Below are 16,902 nucleotides of genomic sequence, written 5' to 3' on the forward strand. Positions count from 1 at the left end.
ACAATAACTGAAATGAATAATTCTCCAAAACAATTCAAAAAGATATTTCAACTTGCAAAGAAAGAATAATAAAACTCAAAGGCATGTCAATGGCGATTATGCTAAATGAAGAATATAGAGAAAAATGAATCAAGAAAAATAAAAGAACCTAAGATAAATATAGCCATGGTTGAACACACCATCAGAAGTGTAATGGGACTTCCAGAGAAAGAAAGGAGAATGAAAAAAGCAGAATAATATTCAAAGAAGTAATACCTGAAAATATTCCAAATTTATTGGAAAACAGTAAGCTATACACCTAGAAACTCAACAAACTCCTAGTAGGATCTATGTAAAGACATTCACAAAGAGATACATTACAGTAAAAATATTGAAAGTCAAATACAAGGAGAAAATCTTAAAAGCAGGAAAAGTGACACATTACTTACAAAGGAGCTTGCAATAGACTGAATGCTTATGATTCTCAAAAGTTTATATGTTGAAATCCTAACTACCGAGGTGATGGTATTGAGTGATGGGGTCTTTGGAAGTTTGGAAATTTGGCACTGAATCTGCCAGTATCTTGATCTTAGACAATTTTTTACAATTCTTACAACCATAAGGGTATATACCCCAGACAACGAAGCTGATTCAGTATCTCAGTATTGTAAGTATAATTGAGAGTATAATTCTTACAATTGTAAGAACTGTAAACAATAAATTCCTGTTGTGTATGTTACTCAGTATTTTGTTACAGCAACCTGAAATAAGATAGAGCTCAAATAATTTTTACAGCTGACATTACTACAGGAGTTATTATGAAATCATTTTTAGGCAGCTAGAAAGGGGGAAAGTTCTCAGTGGAATTTTCCTTTAATAAAAAGCAGCCTCTAAACTATTTATTCTCTAACAGAAAGCAGCCTGAGAAGTCAGGCATAGATATGCAAACTAGGAGCTTTTATATGTAAATGACAGCAGCTGTACCTGGAAGCCATGTACATTCAGTATGGCCTCTCCTGCCCTCTTTTCCTTGTCACCCCTTTTATGGGTGTCATGGCAGTCTCCAGGTAAAACCACGTGTACGAGTATCAAGGCCACGGCCAGGTGGAAGCCACGTTTGCATAATAAAAGACTAGGATGGGAGGGCCAGTCTTTTCCTGGGCTATGTGAATGGCACACCTGGTCAAACCAATCCCCTGAGCCCTAGGTAAATCAATCACTTCCTCCTCAAGCCTCCGTACAAAACCGATTGTGTTCACTGCAAACAAGACACCCTCTTTTGGGCAACCCGCTTTCTCAGCATGAAGAAGCTTTTTATCTCCCTTTTCTTCTTTTTCTATTAAACTTTCCACTCCTAAACCCACTCCTCATGTGTGTCTATCTTCTGAATTCTTTCTTAACTAAGACCCAGAGCCAGGGTATATACCCCAGACAACAGAGCCATTTCAACATCTCAGTATAAACAATTCAGTTCAGAGTAGTATTTTCAAAGTGCTCAAAAATCAAAAACAAAAACAAAGTAAAAAAACTTTCAACCAAGGATCATACATCCATCGAAGTTCATTTTTCAAAAAGAAAGGTAAAATAAAAACTTTTCAGGATAAACATCAGCTAAGAGACTTTTTTTGCTAGAAGACCCACCTTAAAAGAACTGCTAAAACAGTTCTTCAACCTAAGAGGATTTAACTTCAGTCATTTATTTGAATCCACATCAGTAAGAGTAATTACATGATTATATATCAGTATGAATGCATATTTTTCCCCTTGTTTCTCATAATCGATTTAAAAAACAATTGCATATGCAATTTAAAAATTGTTAAAGCATATGCAATTGCCCTTCAAATTAGTTAAGAGAAGCAAGGAGAAAATATTATATATAAAAGTATAGCTGTGACTACAAGATAGAGAAATGTTTAAGCCAGGCACAGAAGGAAAAACTTCATATATTCACAATTATTTGTAGGGGCTAAAAATCAAAATAATTGAACTCACGGATATAGAGAGTAGAAGGATGGTTACCAGAGGCTGAGAAAGTAGTGGGGAACAGTGGGGAAGGAGTTGGGAATGATTAATGAGTACAAAAAAGTAGTTAGAAAAAGTAAATTAGCCCTAGTATTTGCTAGCACAACAGGGAGACTATAGTTGAAAATTAATTACACATTTAAAAATAATTGAAAGGATATAATTGGATTATTGTAATACAAAGGACAAACGCTTCAGGTAATAGATACCCCATTTACCCTGATGTGATTATTATGAATTGCATGCCCTTATCAAAATATCTCATGCAAGCCCTAAATATATACACCTGCTATAGACACCCAAAAATAAAAAAATAAAAAGTTAAAAAACATTTAAATGTAATATATATACTAATAACATCATGGAGGAGGTAGAACAAAGCTGTATCATTACAGGTAGTTAAGTAATAATTTAATGTTGATTCTGATAAATTAGGTTATATATGGTAAACTACAGAGTAACTTCAAACTTTTAACTCAAAAATATAGTGAAAATATAAATGAATTAAAATGCTTAGATATCCATTTAATGAAAGATGAGTCAGGGAAAGAGGGATAGAGGAACAAAAAATGCGTGAGATATATAGGTAAACAAAAAGCAAAATGACAGACAAATCCAGGTATATCAATAATAATAATAACAAATGTGAATGGATGATACAATCTAATCAAAAGGTAGAGATAAGATTGGATTAAAATATGTTCTATACAGGAGACACAGATGTATATATTAATAAAACAGAAAATAAAAATTGAAATAATCAATAAAGCTAAACGTTTCTCTGAAGAGAACAACAAAATCATCAAATCTTTAGCCAGATTAGTCAAGAAAAAGAAAAAGAAAAAGACTTAATTTGACAGACCCAAATTCAAAGATACAACTAGGATAAAAGTAAAAGTATAGAAAATGATATATCATGAAACTAGAAACCAAAATAAGCTAGAGTGGCTATATAGATATCAGAGAAAATAGACTTTAGAACAACAAAAAAGTTACTAACTACAAGGAGGGACATTTCGGAATAATAAAATTGTCAATCTACCAGGATTATAAACATAAATTTATCTAATAAAATAAAAATAGCAGACAATAAAAAATAGAGCATAAATTAATAAAATAGAGAATAAAAAATAACAGAAAATCAACATAGCCAAAAATGTTTATCTAAACAACAAAATTGTCAAATTGTTAGCTAGATTAATAAAAATAAAGAAGAGAGAGAGAATACTTAATTTACTAGAATCAGAAATGAGAGCAGGCACATTACTACCAATCTTACAGAAAGAAAAAGGATTATGAAAGAATACTATGAACAACCGTATACCCCAAAATTATATAACTTAAATGAAATGGACAAACTCCTAGAAGGGTACAAACGAATGACTAAAACTTACTCAAAAGGAAACACATTATGAACAGAACCATAACATGCAAAGAGTTTGAAGTATTAATTAACAAAATACCCACAAAGGACAGGTCAGTCCCAGAAGTTTACTACTGGATCCCACCAAACATTAAAAAAAAAAAATACAAATTCTCCACAAACTCTTTCAAAAGATAGAAGAGGATGAACAGTTTCCAATTATTTTTATGAGGCCAGTTTATCCTGATACCAAAACCAAATAAAGATATCACAAGAAAAGAAACATACAGACCAATATCTCTTATGAATATGTTTTCTAAAATCCTTAACGAAATAAAACTAAATCAAATACAGCAACATATAAAAATAATTATATACGATGACCAAACGGGATGTTTCCAGAGATGCAAGGTTAATTCAACATGTGAAATTCAACGAATGTAAAACATCATTTGTTAGAGTAGGTAGATAGCTAGACATGAACATGGGGGAGGCTCCTGAGAAAGGAAAAGCCTGGGAAGGTTCACTACCCACTCCCTAGAGGGGCCAACCAAAATTTGCATATTAATAGCATCTCTAATGCTGGAGTGGGTGGGTCTAAGTCAAATGTGGTTAGGAAGAAGAGGAAGTACTTAGGCAGAAAGAAACATCCCAGAACACCTCTTAAGGTGCCACAATTATCATTCACTCTGCCATTACAATGTCAGAATATCGCTAGCTACATGCACATTCCTAAGAGCAACCTGGCATCATGAGTACAGATTAGGGCAAATAAGGAAATTCCAAAGAGATATGCAGGCACAAGAGGTAAAGATTTGACCACTACACAACCTTCCTGGGGTGGCGGTAATTATTAGGGCTGCTGTCAGGCAAGACTCGTATTGAATTACCAGTTGTATTAGTCTGTTCTCACACTGCTATAAAGACGTACCCGAGACTGGGTAACTTATAAACAAAAGAGGTTTAATTGACTCACAGTTCTGCATGGCTGGGGGGGCATCCGGAATCTTACCATCATGGCAGAAGGGGAAGCAGGCACATCTTACATGGTGGCAGGTGAGAAAGAGCAAGCAAGAACAGGGAAAATTGCCTTATAAAACCATCAGATCTTGCAAGAGCTCATTCATTATCACAAGAACAGCATGGGGAAAACCACTGCCATGATCCAGTCACCTTTCATGTGGTCCCTCCCTTGACACGTGGGAATTATGGAGATTACAATTTGAGATGAGATTTTGGTGGGGACACAGAGTCAAACCTTATCACCAGCCCAAGTATGCACATTAACCAACAGTAAGGGAGGATCCTGCAATCCTATGGGTAGGGAGTAAGGTGGAACTTAAGGCAGGAGTGGGAACACTAGACAAAGGAAAAAGACGGAGACTTGAGGCAGAGGTGGGGATTGCACAGAACCTTCAGAGCTGTTTTCCCTGCATGATCAACCCACTGCTCCATTGGGGCATCCCTCTTTATTAAATTTTTTTTCCTACAATAAGCTCTCTACACTGTATTTCATTTCAATAAAGTTCTCTGCTATGTTTGTACTGTCTCTTGGTCAAAATTGTTCTTCCAAGTTAGACAAGAACTCGGACATCTGCTCTTTCTGGTAACAATATCAATAGAGTAAAAATAAATCACATGATTATTTACTTAGATGCAGAAAAAGAATTTAATGAAACACAACATCCTCTCATGACATAAACAATTAGGAAAATTGAGATAGAACTTTTTCAACCTGATAAAGGATGATATGGTTTGGCTGTGTCCTCACTCAAATCTCATCTTAAATTCCCATGTGTTGTGGGAGGGACCCGTTTGGAGGTAATTGAATTATGGGGGTAGGTGTTTCCTGTGCTGTTCTTGTGATAATGAATAAGTCTCACAAGATCTGATGGTTTTATAAGGGGGAGTTTCCCTGTACAAGCTCTCTCTTTGCCTGCTGCCATCCATGTAAGAAATGACTTGCTCCTTCCTTGCCTTCTGCCATGATTGTGAGGACTCTCCAGCCACATGGAACTTAAGTCCATTAAACTTCTTTCTTTTGTAAATTGCCCAGTCTCGGGTATGTCTTTACCAGAAATGTAAAAACGGACTAATACAAAGGATATCTATAAAAAGCCCATAGCTAATAATATCAGACTTAATGGTAAAAAACTTAATGATTTTCTTCTAAGATCAGGAACAAGATATAGATGTCTGTTCTTGCCATTCCTTTTTAAAATTACACTTTAAGTTCTGGGAGACATGTGCAGAACGTGCAGCTTTGTTACATAGGTATACAGGTGCCATGGTGGTTTGCTGCACCCATCAACTCATCATCTACATTAGGAATTTATCCTAAGGCTGTACCTCCCCTAGACCCCCACCCCAGTGTGGGTCTAGACAGGCCCCAGTGTGTGATATTCCCCTCCCTGTGTCCATATGCTCTCATTGTTCAACTCCTTCTTATGAATGAGAACTTGCAGTGTTTGGTTTTCTGTTCCTGTGTTAGTTTGCTGAGAGTGATGGTTTCCAGCTTCATCCATGTCCCTGCAAAGGACTTGAGCTCATCCTTTTTTATGGCTGCATAGTATTTCATGGCATAAATGTGCCATAGTTTCTTTATTCATTCTATCATTGATGGGCAGTTTGGTTGGTTCCAAGTTTTTGCCATCCTGAATAGTGCTGCAGCACTGTTCTTGCCATTTCTATTCAACATCATATTGGCAATTCCAGTCTGAGCATTTAGATGGAAAAGAAAAAAAGAGAATAAAAGAACTAAAAGGCATCTAGATGTATGACATAAACTTGTAAATAAATAGTAATATGAAATTCAATTAAACAACTATTGGAATAAGTGAAAATTATTTCAATAACTACTTTAGTCATTTTAAGATAACTCATTTATCTTGGAAATAAGTGAATTGAGTAAGGTAAAAGGATATAAGATCAAGATACAAAAACCAATTGCATTTCCATACACATTCTATGAGTAATCTGAAAATAAAATTTTCAAAAACTTTCATTTATGATGGCATTAAAAATATTAGAACACTTACAAATAAACTCAACAAAAGAGTGCAGAATTTGTACTCTGAAAACTACAAAACATTGTTGAAAGAAATTAAAGAAGATCTAAATAATTAGAAAAACATCTCATGTTCATGGATCAGAAGATTAACATTGTTAAGAGGGCAACACTCCTCAAACTGCCCTACAAATTCAGTATCTCTGTTTAATTCTTTGTAGAAATTGATAACCTGGAATTGAAGGAGACCCAGAATAGTCAAAACAATCTTGAAAAACAAAAGTTGGAGGACTCACACCTCTCTATTTTAAAGCTTACTTAAAATCAATGTTAATAAGATAGTATAACACTGGAATAAGTATAGACATATAGAGCAATAAAACAATTAGGTGCTGGGCGCAGTGGCTCAGGCCTGTAATCCCAGCACATTGGGAGGCCAAGGCGGGCGGATCACAAGTTCAGGAGATCGAAACCATCCTGGCTAACACGGTGAAACCCCGTCTCTACTAAAAATACAAAAAAATTAGCCAGGCGTGTTGGCACGCGACTGTAATCCCAGCTACTCAGGAGGCTGAGGCAGGAGAATGGCGTGAACCCGGGAGGCGGAGCTCGCAGTGAGCCTAGATCGTGCCACTGCACTCCAGCCTGGGCAACAGAGCAAGACTCTGTCTCAAAAAACAAAACAAAACAAAACAAACGAACAAACAAAAACAATTAGGAGTCCAAAAATGAACTCATGTATCTGGTTAACTAATTTTTGACAAAGGTGCAATTACCATCCAAGTGGGAAAGAATACTCTTTTCACCAATGATGCTGTGATAATTGCATAGATACATGCAAAGAATAAAGGTAGAGCCTTACTTCATACCTTATAGGAAAAAAAATCAAAATGAATAGAAACCTTAACATAAGTGTTGACAGCTGATGTGATACTTTGGTTCTTGTCTTCTTGGTTTAAAAGAATTTAAACAAGAGACACAGCAAAGGAGGTGTAGCATAGAATAATTTATTGCAAAAAAATAAATAATATTTTGAAAGTTAGGTGCAGAATAGACAGTACACCATGAGAGAAAATTCAAGATGGGCTGCTTGTAAGGATGAGACAACAAAGACTGGCAGTAGGTAGACTCCCTTCATGGAAGCCTTACCTGATTATTCATGAGGAGGTGGAAAGAGGTTACTAGTAAGCATGTTCTGGGTGGTCCTCTGGGTTCCCATGTGCGGTAGCTGTACATGCTTGTTCATATGTCACACGTCTCATTAGCATCTTAAATCTCCACCCAAGGGTGTGTTTTCTACTATTGTTATGAACAAAGTGTCAGTTTGAGGACAGGTAAAATCAAAATGTGCATGCTCTCTAGAAGGTAGCTTAGCTTGACTGAGCTCAATTACAGAGCCGATGCTGAGGCTTATTGTGTTGACTGTATGGTTACCATGGTTGCTGCATCCCAAGAACATGGTCACTTCCTGGACTATTCATCCTGCCTCATAAGTGCTAAAACTATAAAACTTTTAAAAGAAAACATAGAGATAAAACTTCGTGGCCTTAGATTTGACAAGAGACTCTTAGATATGACACCAAATGCACAAGCAAAAATAGTAAGTAAAAGGAAAAAATACATTTAAATTAGACTTCATCAAAATTAATAATCATTGCATTCTGAGGATATCATCAGGAAAGTAAAAAGACAATCCATAGAATGCAAGAAAAATTACATATTTGATGAGACTTTTATTCAGAATATATAAAGATCTCTTTAAATTCAATATTAAAAAGACAAACTGTGGTAGGAGTTATTAAGAAATTATTTTAGGCAGATGGAGAAGAAAAGAGGTCCTTGGAAAGTTGTTTCTTTTAAAGCAGCTTTAGAAAAGTTTCCTGTCTAGCAGGAAAGCCTCCACTCTTAGAGCCTGGCTGGCAGCTTTTGATATGCAAATGCTAGCCATTAGAAACTGGGTCCACAAAACAGGGTGATTCCCGCCCTCTTCTTCCTTGCCCCCACATCTGCCTGGCAGCAAGGTCGCCCTCACATATCCCCATGTGTGTAGAACATCACGGCACCCTGCATTTGCATATTAAAAGGCTAGGATGGGAGGGCCAGTTTTTTCATGGGCTAGGTGAATAACATGCCTGGTCAAACCAATCCCCTGAGCCCTATGCAAATTAGACACCGCCTCCTCCAGCCTCCTCATATAACCGGCTGGTATCTGTGCACTTGGGGTCTCCTCTCTCGACTTTGGACCCCTTTCTCCCTCTATCTCTGTACAGGGGAGCTTGTTTCATCTTTCTTCTCCCTTCTTTCTTGCCTGTTAAACTCTCCGCTCCTTAAAACCACTCCACGTGTCTCCATGTCATTTTTAATCTAATTCGGCACAAGGACCAAGAACCCTGGTGTTCCTCCATTCATTGCAGCCATATCAAAACAACCCAAAGAAAAAATTCACAAAGTATCTGAACTGACATTTCCCCAAATAAGATAGCTGAATGAGTGATAAAACTATGTAAAGATGTTCATCATCATTGATCAGGGAAATAAAAATTAAAACCACTATGAGATATTACTTCACACCCGCTTGAATGGCTAGAATTTAAAAAGCCAGACAATAAGTATTGGTAAGGAAATGCAGCAATTGAAATCCTTAGTCAATTAAGGATTGCAGCCATTTTGTAACACAGTCTGACAGTCTCAAACAATTAAACATAGAGTTACTACATAAAACAGCAAGTACGCTTCAAGGTAAATGTCCCAAATAATTGAAAACATATGTCCTTGCAACAACTTATACATGACTGTTTATAACAGCATTTTTCATAAAAGCTAAGTGGGGAAATAACCCCTGTCCATCAAGTGATGAATGGATAAGCAAAATATGAATATACCTGTGAGAAATACAAATTAAGTTCTAAGCCTACAACTGACTGAATGGACCCCATTTTGGCCAAGGGGACGCTGAGTTCACTGCCATAATGAGATGGGAAGTTCACCTTATTATACCTCCTCCCTCACTAAGCATCATTAGTCTTTCTTCCCTAAGTGCTAAATAGAAACCAGCCCTTTCAAAAGACTCCACACTGATAGTTTATTATGTCAACGGAAAGAGTCAAACTCAAAAATATTTGAAGATATTTATTCTGAGCCAAATATGAATGATCGTGGCCCATGACACAGCCCTCAGGAGGTCCTGAGAACACGTGCCCAAAGTGGTCGGGGTGCAGCTTGGTTTTATATATTTTAGGGAAGCATAAGGAATCAATCAAATATGTTTGAGAAATACATTGGTTTGGTCCAGGGGCTTCCAGGTTATAGGTAAATGCAAACATTTTCTGGTGGACGCTTAGTTACATTTGTCGAAAGACCTGGAATCAATAGAAAGGAAATGTTGAGGGTAAGAAAAAGATTGTGGAGACCAAGGTTCTTTTGAAGTCTCATAGTGGCTGCCCTTAGAGACAATAGACGACAAATATTTCCTGTTGAGACTTTTAAAAGGTGCTAGGCTCTCAGTTAATCTCTTCAGGATTGGGAGGGCTTGTAAGAAATAGAACTGGTTATGTTAATAGAGATTCTTTACAAATGCAAATTTACCCCCCAAAAGGATGGCTTTGCAGGGCCATTTCAAAATATGGCAAAGAAACATGTTTTGGTATAAAATAGCTTGCTTTTCTCCTTTGTCATGTAATGTTATGCCAGAATCAGATTGGAAAGTAAGTCACAATATATAGGGTTAAATAAAACCCATCGGATGAGAATTTATGGTTTGTAGGGCATGACTCCAGGCCTCTTAGAAAGGAATTTGGGCAAGATAAGATAAAATCAGAGCTTAGTCCTCAATTACTAGCTTATCTTCCCAGGAACCAAACAAAGATAAAATGAGATTAATCATTTCTTCACTCTCCCAGAGGCCTCTGTTTTTTCTAGTCTCTTTTTCTTCAAATGTTCTCCATCTCTTATGTAAAATGTAGATTTACTGGGCACTAACTAAAGTCTCAGAAGTGTGTAATCACTCATCTCACTGCTGCTCTATCCTTTTTTAAAATTCTATTTATTTTTTATTTTTATCTCAATAAGCTTTTGGGGAGCAGGTGGTGTTTGTTTACATGGGTAAGTTCTTTAGTGGCGATTTCTGGGATTTTGGTGCACCTGTTACCCAAGCAGTGTACACTGAACCCACTGTGTAGTATTTTATCCCTCACACCTGTCCCAACCTTCCTCCCAAGTCCAGAAAGTTCATCGTATTATTCTTATGCCTTTGCATCCTCATAGCTTAGCTCCCACTTATAAGTAAGAATAGGCTATGTTTGGTTTTCCATTCCTGAGTTACTTCACTTAGAATAATGCTCTCCAGCTCCATCCAGGTCACTAAGAATGCCATTATTTCATTCCTTTTTATGGCTGAGTATTATTCCATGGTGTGTGTATATATATAATATATATATATATATATAGAGAGAGAGAGAGAGAGAGCGCACATTTTCTTTATCCATTCATTGATTGATGGGCATTTGGGCTGGTTCCATATTTTTGCAATTACAAATTGTGCTTTTATAAACATGCATGTGCAAGTGTTTTTTTTTCATATAATGACTTCTTTTCCTCTGGGTAGATACCCATTAGTGGGATTGCTGGATCAAATGGTACATCTACTTTTAGCTCTTTAAGGAATCTCCACACTGTTTTCCATAGTGGCTGTACTAGTTTACGTTCCTACCAGCAGTGTAGAAGTGTTCCCTTTTCAACCACAGCCATGCCAACATCTATTATTTTTGTATTTTTAAATTATGGCCATTCTTGCAGGTGTAAGGTGGTATTGCATTGTAGTTTTGATTTGCACTTTCTTGATAATTAGTGATAATGAGCATTTTTTTCATACGTTTGTTGGCCATTTGTATATCGTCTTTCGAGAATTGTCTATTCATGCTCTTAGCCCACTTTCTGATGGGATTATTTATTTTCTCCTTGCTGGTTTGTTTGAGTTCCTTGAAGATTCTGGATATCAGTCATTTGTCAGATGCATAGTTAGTGAAGATTTTCTTCCATTCTGTGGGTTGTCTGTTTACACTGCTGACTATTTATTTTGCTGTGCAGCACCTTCTTAGTTTAATTAAGTCTTATATATTTATCTTTGCTTTTGTCACATTTGATTTTGGGTTCTTGGTCATGAAGTCTTTTCCTAAGCCAATGTTTAGAAGGGTTTTTTCAATGCTGTCTTCTAGAATTTTATGGTTTCAGGTCTTAGATTTAAGTCTTTGATCCATCTGGAGTTGATTTTTACATAAGGTGAGAGATGAGGATCCAGTTTCATTTTTTTACCTGTGGCTTACCAATTATCCCAGCACCATTTGTTGAATAGTACGTCCTTTCCCCACTTGATGTTTTTGTTTGCTTTGTCAAAGATCAGTTTGCTGTTAAGTATTTGGCTTAATTTCTGGGTTCTCTATTCTGTTCCATTGGTCTATGTTCCTATTTTTTTTTTTTTTTTTCTTGAGACGGAGTCCCACTCTGTCGCCCAGGCTCGAGTGCAGTGGCGCAATCTTGACTCAATGAAACCTTCACCTCCCGTGTTCAAGCAATTCTCATGCCTCAGCTTCCTGAGTAGATGGAATTACAGGCGCCCCCCACCACACCAGGCTAATTTTTGTATTTTTAGTAGGGACAGGGTTTCACCATGTTGATCAAGCTGGTCTCGAACTCCTGACATCGTGATCCCCCTACCTTGGACTCCCAAAGTGCTGGGATTACAGGCCTGAGCCACTGCGCCTGGCCTATGTGCCTATTTTTTAAACCTGTACCATCCTGTTTTGGAGACTACAGCCATATAATATAGTTTGAAGTCAGGTAATGGAATGCCTCCAGATTTGTCCTTTTCGCTTTTTTAAGGAAAATGTGTAAATATATTACTAAACTTCCTGAGAACCTCTTTGGAAAAAAACAGCCATAGATGTGTCTGTAACTTATGTTTTTCCTGGGTACATCCTCCGACTCACTCAAGAAAACCCAATGAGTTGGGAATGATGCCTCAGTCACTCATTTTGATTGCCACACGCAATGCGATATTATTTGGCCTTGCAAAGGAATGAAGTATTAATATCTACAATAACATGGATAAACCTTGAAAATGCTACGCTAAATAAAAGAAGCTAGTCAAAAAAGACCACATATTTCATTCCAGTGCAATGCTTAGAACAGGAAACTATATAGAGACAGAAAGTAGATTAGTAATTGCTAGGGGCTGGTGCATATATGTGGGGATAGGGGATAATAGCTGAAGTGCACAAGGTTTCTTTTTGCAATGAGGAAAATATTCTAACATTAACTGTGGCGGTATTTTTCCTTATCTGTGAATATACTAAAAAGATCCTTAACATTTAAATGTACATTTTATATGTTGAAAATTATCTCAATAATGCATTTAAAAATAAGAAGTTACCCCTAAAATGAATTTAAATACTGATATATATGATCAGATCAGGTGAATCAGATTTTGCAATCTGACAGAGAAACATGGCTGTTGAGTTACAGAAAGGACTGAAGAAATTGATGTGAAGTGAGCAAAAGAGAAAATACTTAGGAAATAAGGGTTTTAAAATATGTATTCATAATTTAGGAAAGTGATTAATGTAACGTTTCCCAATAGTAGTGACACATTTTTATACTAGAAAGCAGGAGATAGTAAAAGGGAATATGGCATGGTAGATTCTCTGAATCCCTAACCAACAGGCAGGGGATGGCTGGAAGTCTGTTTATGCGTAGGCCTTCCACAGCCAGGGGTTCAAGAAAGAAATTTTATCTTCAGGCAGAAAAAGAAGAAAAGACAAAGCTAGGCAATTTTTTTTTGCAGGAAATACTTAGTTTTGCAATGTATTCAAATGAGAAATGAAAAGTCAGTCCTCAGGCTAAAATCGAGTTATGCTAATCAAGGGTTTTGTCAGGTGAGAAAAAACCTTAACATTTACTGAGTGCTCACTTTGCTTCCTATTGTGCTTACAGAAGAGAAAGGTCAGGCACAGCGATATCAGGTTCCAGAAACTTGCCATCACAATTTGGTAATGATAGAGGAAAGAGGGCAAGGAATTAAACAATGTGAGATCTTCTTGTTATAATTAGACGTAAACTAATTAAGATTTACTAGAGGCTAGGGGAAGACTATTAGGGAGAGAAAGGGATTAGTCAAAGTGGCTTGCTTATAAACCCACTTAAAATATTAGGAATGTATTTTTTTTAAGAAATCACTTTTAAATCATTTATTTCTCATTATCTCACTATTAAAGTGGTGTCTCTTAATCACTTAATTATAGCTATGTAATTTTTGTATATTTTAGTACTTAAAAACCCTATTGACAATCATGAATTGTCCTCAATAATATACAAATGTTTAAATAATTCTGAAATTAAATTTTTGAATCACATTATTGTTGGGAGGAATATATTCATATGATTGATGTATTATCTGGTGGAAAATAGAATTATTAGAGAATAAGATTTAGTATGGAATTAAAAGTTGTTTTTATTATTTTAATGCAAATAAAATAGTGCTCTGGAACCTGAAAATAACCAGTAACTAATGAGGTTTTTTCATTTACAGCTATTTAACATAATATTTTCCACAAAGATTGAGTCAACTAAATGGATCCAGAAGAATCAAATATTAGCGCTTTAATAATTATTTAGCAGTGTAGTTTAGGTCCCACAAAGATCAGTTGATATTCAAATAAAATCATGACCTGATCTTCCTGATTGTTAGTGTGATTTATTTTTTCTCACTTACTTAAAGCAAGATAATTCCTCTTGAAAAAAGTCAAGTAATAATTTTGTGTTACAATTCTCACCTAATTTAGATATTCAGAATTTTGCAAAGATGGTTAGAAAAATGAAAAGTAAAGTTTGCTTCATTTTCAATTGCTTTAATGTCCTAAAGTGTCATATATAAAAAGCATGTGATTATTTTCTGTGTGTTGTATAAGATAATGATACTTGTGATCTAATATTGTAGAATTTTTTTTAGATGTTTTACCTTTCGGTACCTGAATGATCTTAACTGTTTCTCTAATTATCTGGGTGACATAAGACAATTTGATCTTAATTAGGGATTAGAGCTTTCTTCTTATTCATGTCAGTTGTAAACATTATAATTATAAAATTGGTATAGTGGGGAAGGAAAAATAAAAACTCATTGGTATGATTTAAGGAAAGTAATTTATTCTGGGTTGGTTAAGGTTAGTGTAAAAAAAGACAGAGACATAGGATACATAGTAATGTAGATACATGAATATGCAGGGCTAAAAATATTGCTTTGGTACAATTTAAAATAGTGTATTTGAAACATATTTTCTGTTAACAAGAAGAAAAGAGAAGATTAAAATATATCCCATAGGATATATGATGTAGGCTATTTTATTAAAAATATTGTATCTGAAGGCAGTTATATCTCTGTCCTGTAAAATTGACTTTCCATGTTTTTACATATTTACATGGATAAGTTTAAAAACAACATAAGACTTCATTGGCGTTTGCATCCTTTTTTTGCATTGTCTAATATATCCATGCTAATTCTGGTTGGGGTATTGGCAATATAGTATTATTTTTCATTCTTTCTAATTTTTGGATTCTTTAAAAACTAATCACATATAAAATATTATACTTTATTAAAATCTGTTGGGTACAAACTGCACAAAATTTTATATTTGTTCACTGTATCTGCCCTATCTCCATTGACATGTGCTCCTTTAAAAGTATTATATTGAGTAGCATTTTACTTAGTTCAAATGTACAAAAAAGCACAGAGTGAATCGTCAGTATATGAACACAACCATGTATCCTCCACTCAAGTTGCCTAAGGTTAGATTCCCCAGAAACAGAGATGGGCACAGGGATGTGAGTACCCATGGTTATGGGTGAAGTGCTCTTTGGGCAAGTCTGTGAGCAAAAGAGTGAAGCTTGAGAGGGAGTTAAATACAGACATACCCTCAAGAAAAGTTTAGGCATGGCTGCATCAATAGGAAAAGGCCCCTGGAACATCAACTGCAGCAGTGTTTTCCTCTTTGAAGCAGGGTAACTGGCCATGAATAACCTGAAAAGGCTTCTTGGTAGGATGGCTCCTTTCATGTAAAGGTTGGTTTCTGGAGAAGAGGTGAAGCGGGCAGCAATAGGAAGTCAATATTTCCAGCAATTGAGTAACGAGTGGGCCAGGATCTGGGCAGGGCCCTACAATGTCCTCTCCAGAGGTAAATAAGCAGAATTATTTGAGGGAGCTGTATTGGGCTTCCTTATATTATATGATCTCAGGGTGTGGGACTTCTTACGTTGCAGTTGCCTCCTCTTAGGGGAGGTGGAAGCTTCACATTTCTTAAAGGCGTGGTCCTTTATTGGCACAGTATCATTTTCAATGCATTCTATTAATCAAAGAATGTCACAAGGCCTGCCTTAAATCAAGGCAGGAATTATTGCAACCATTTTAGATACTATCAGAAATATTAAGCACGGTGTTTATTAAAAATGTTTTGTAGATGATCTTTTATTTTCAGGTGAAAAAGCAAGCACAGCAGTACACTGATTTGGGTCAAAGAGACCTAGCCCAACCCAAGGTAATATTATCTTCCCTTCCTAATTGTGAATCTTAGCCAACCCCCATGGATTGAATCAAAGGCCTCCTTCCTTCTTAGGGCTGGGTAGGATAGTGAGCTAACCACCTGTATTCAATGTAGGGATAGAAATTCAATTCTCGTTCCTTGCCAAGATTCCCCAGCATACTCATACAGGTGCATGTGGCATTTAGTCCCTTCTCTCCTTAAGGAAGCTGATGTTGGGGTAGGGAAGGGTAGAGGGCTCAGGAAATGTACAAGTAAGTGAACTCTTTCAGATTCGAATGTCATGGAGGCTGCATGTAGCTTTAACAAATGAAATTCATTCATCCCACCAGAAACTCTGTATCAGGTAGAAAGATAATCATTACTGAACTCATCTATTTCAGCTTTGTGGATCCCTTTATTCAATAGTAACATCCACTTTGTTCTCTGGTTGGCCCCTGTATACCCTTTAGCTAACTCAGGCTCAGCTCACACAGAAGGAGGCATTTTTTAATGACTGCAATTAAAGAAATACACTTTAATTGGGGTTTTTGCTGCCCATTTTTCATACATCTCTTATCTTTTTCCCAGTTTTATTATGAGGATGAGAGGAGTTTTCCAAAGCAGTAGAGACGACTACAAGTATTTATACAGATATCTTGACTCAATTTCTCCTTCTCCAGTAGGTAACCTCATCAATATTGTAATTCTAATCTAGGTCAGTAAGAGCCAGCTATTAGTGTCTCATCTTCCTGTGGGAGTTTGTCTGTCTCATGGAAATCTCCCTGAGAAGGTCAATATTCTTTCACGTCTCAGTGCTTTTTGTTTGTTTGTTTTTTGTTTTTTTTTGAGACGGAGTCAGAGTCTCCCTCTGTCGCCCAGGCTGGAGTGCGGTGGCACGATATTGGCTCATTGCAACCTCCACCTCCCAGGTTCAAGTGATTCTCCTGCCTCAGCCTCCCGAGTAG

At 36.3% G+C, this 16,902-nt stretch overlaps 3 annotated features.

The window, feature by feature from the left end:
- Window positions 17-915: an enhancer, noted in NCBI's record as "OCT4-NANOG-H3K27ac hESC enhancer chr5:12322922-12323820 (GRCh37/hg19 assembly coordinates)". NCBI's record gives its function as "activates a minimal SCP1, AML or CMV promoter by ChIP-STARR-seq in primed H9 embryonic stem cells {active_cell/tissue: H9 hESC(primed)}" and the evidence as "EXISTENCE:reporter gene assay evidence [ECO:0000049][PMID:30033119]".
- Window positions 916-1,812: an enhancer, noted in NCBI's record as "OCT4-NANOG-H3K27ac hESC enhancer chr5:12323821-12324717 (GRCh37/hg19 assembly coordinates)". NCBI's record gives its function as "activates a minimal SCP1, AML or CMV promoter by ChIP-STARR-seq in naive and primed H9 embryonic stem cells {active_cell/tissue: H9 hESC(naive and primed)}" and the evidence as "EXISTENCE:reporter gene assay evidence [ECO:0000049][PMID:30033119]".
- Window positions 7,364-8,349: an enhancer, noted in NCBI's record as "OCT4-NANOG-H3K27ac hESC enhancer chr5:12330269-12331254 (GRCh37/hg19 assembly coordinates)". NCBI's record gives its function as "activates a minimal SCP1, AML or CMV promoter by ChIP-STARR-seq in naive H9 embryonic stem cells {active_cell/tissue: H9 hESC(naive)}" and the evidence as "EXISTENCE:reporter gene assay evidence [ECO:0000049][PMID:30033119]".

The sequence above is a fragment of the Homo sapiens genome, chromosome 5, assembly GCF_000001405.40.
Source record: "Homo sapiens chromosome 5, GRCh38.p14 Primary Assembly".
Taxonomy (NCBI): Eukaryota; Metazoa; Chordata; class Mammalia; order Primates; family Hominidae; genus Homo; species Homo sapiens.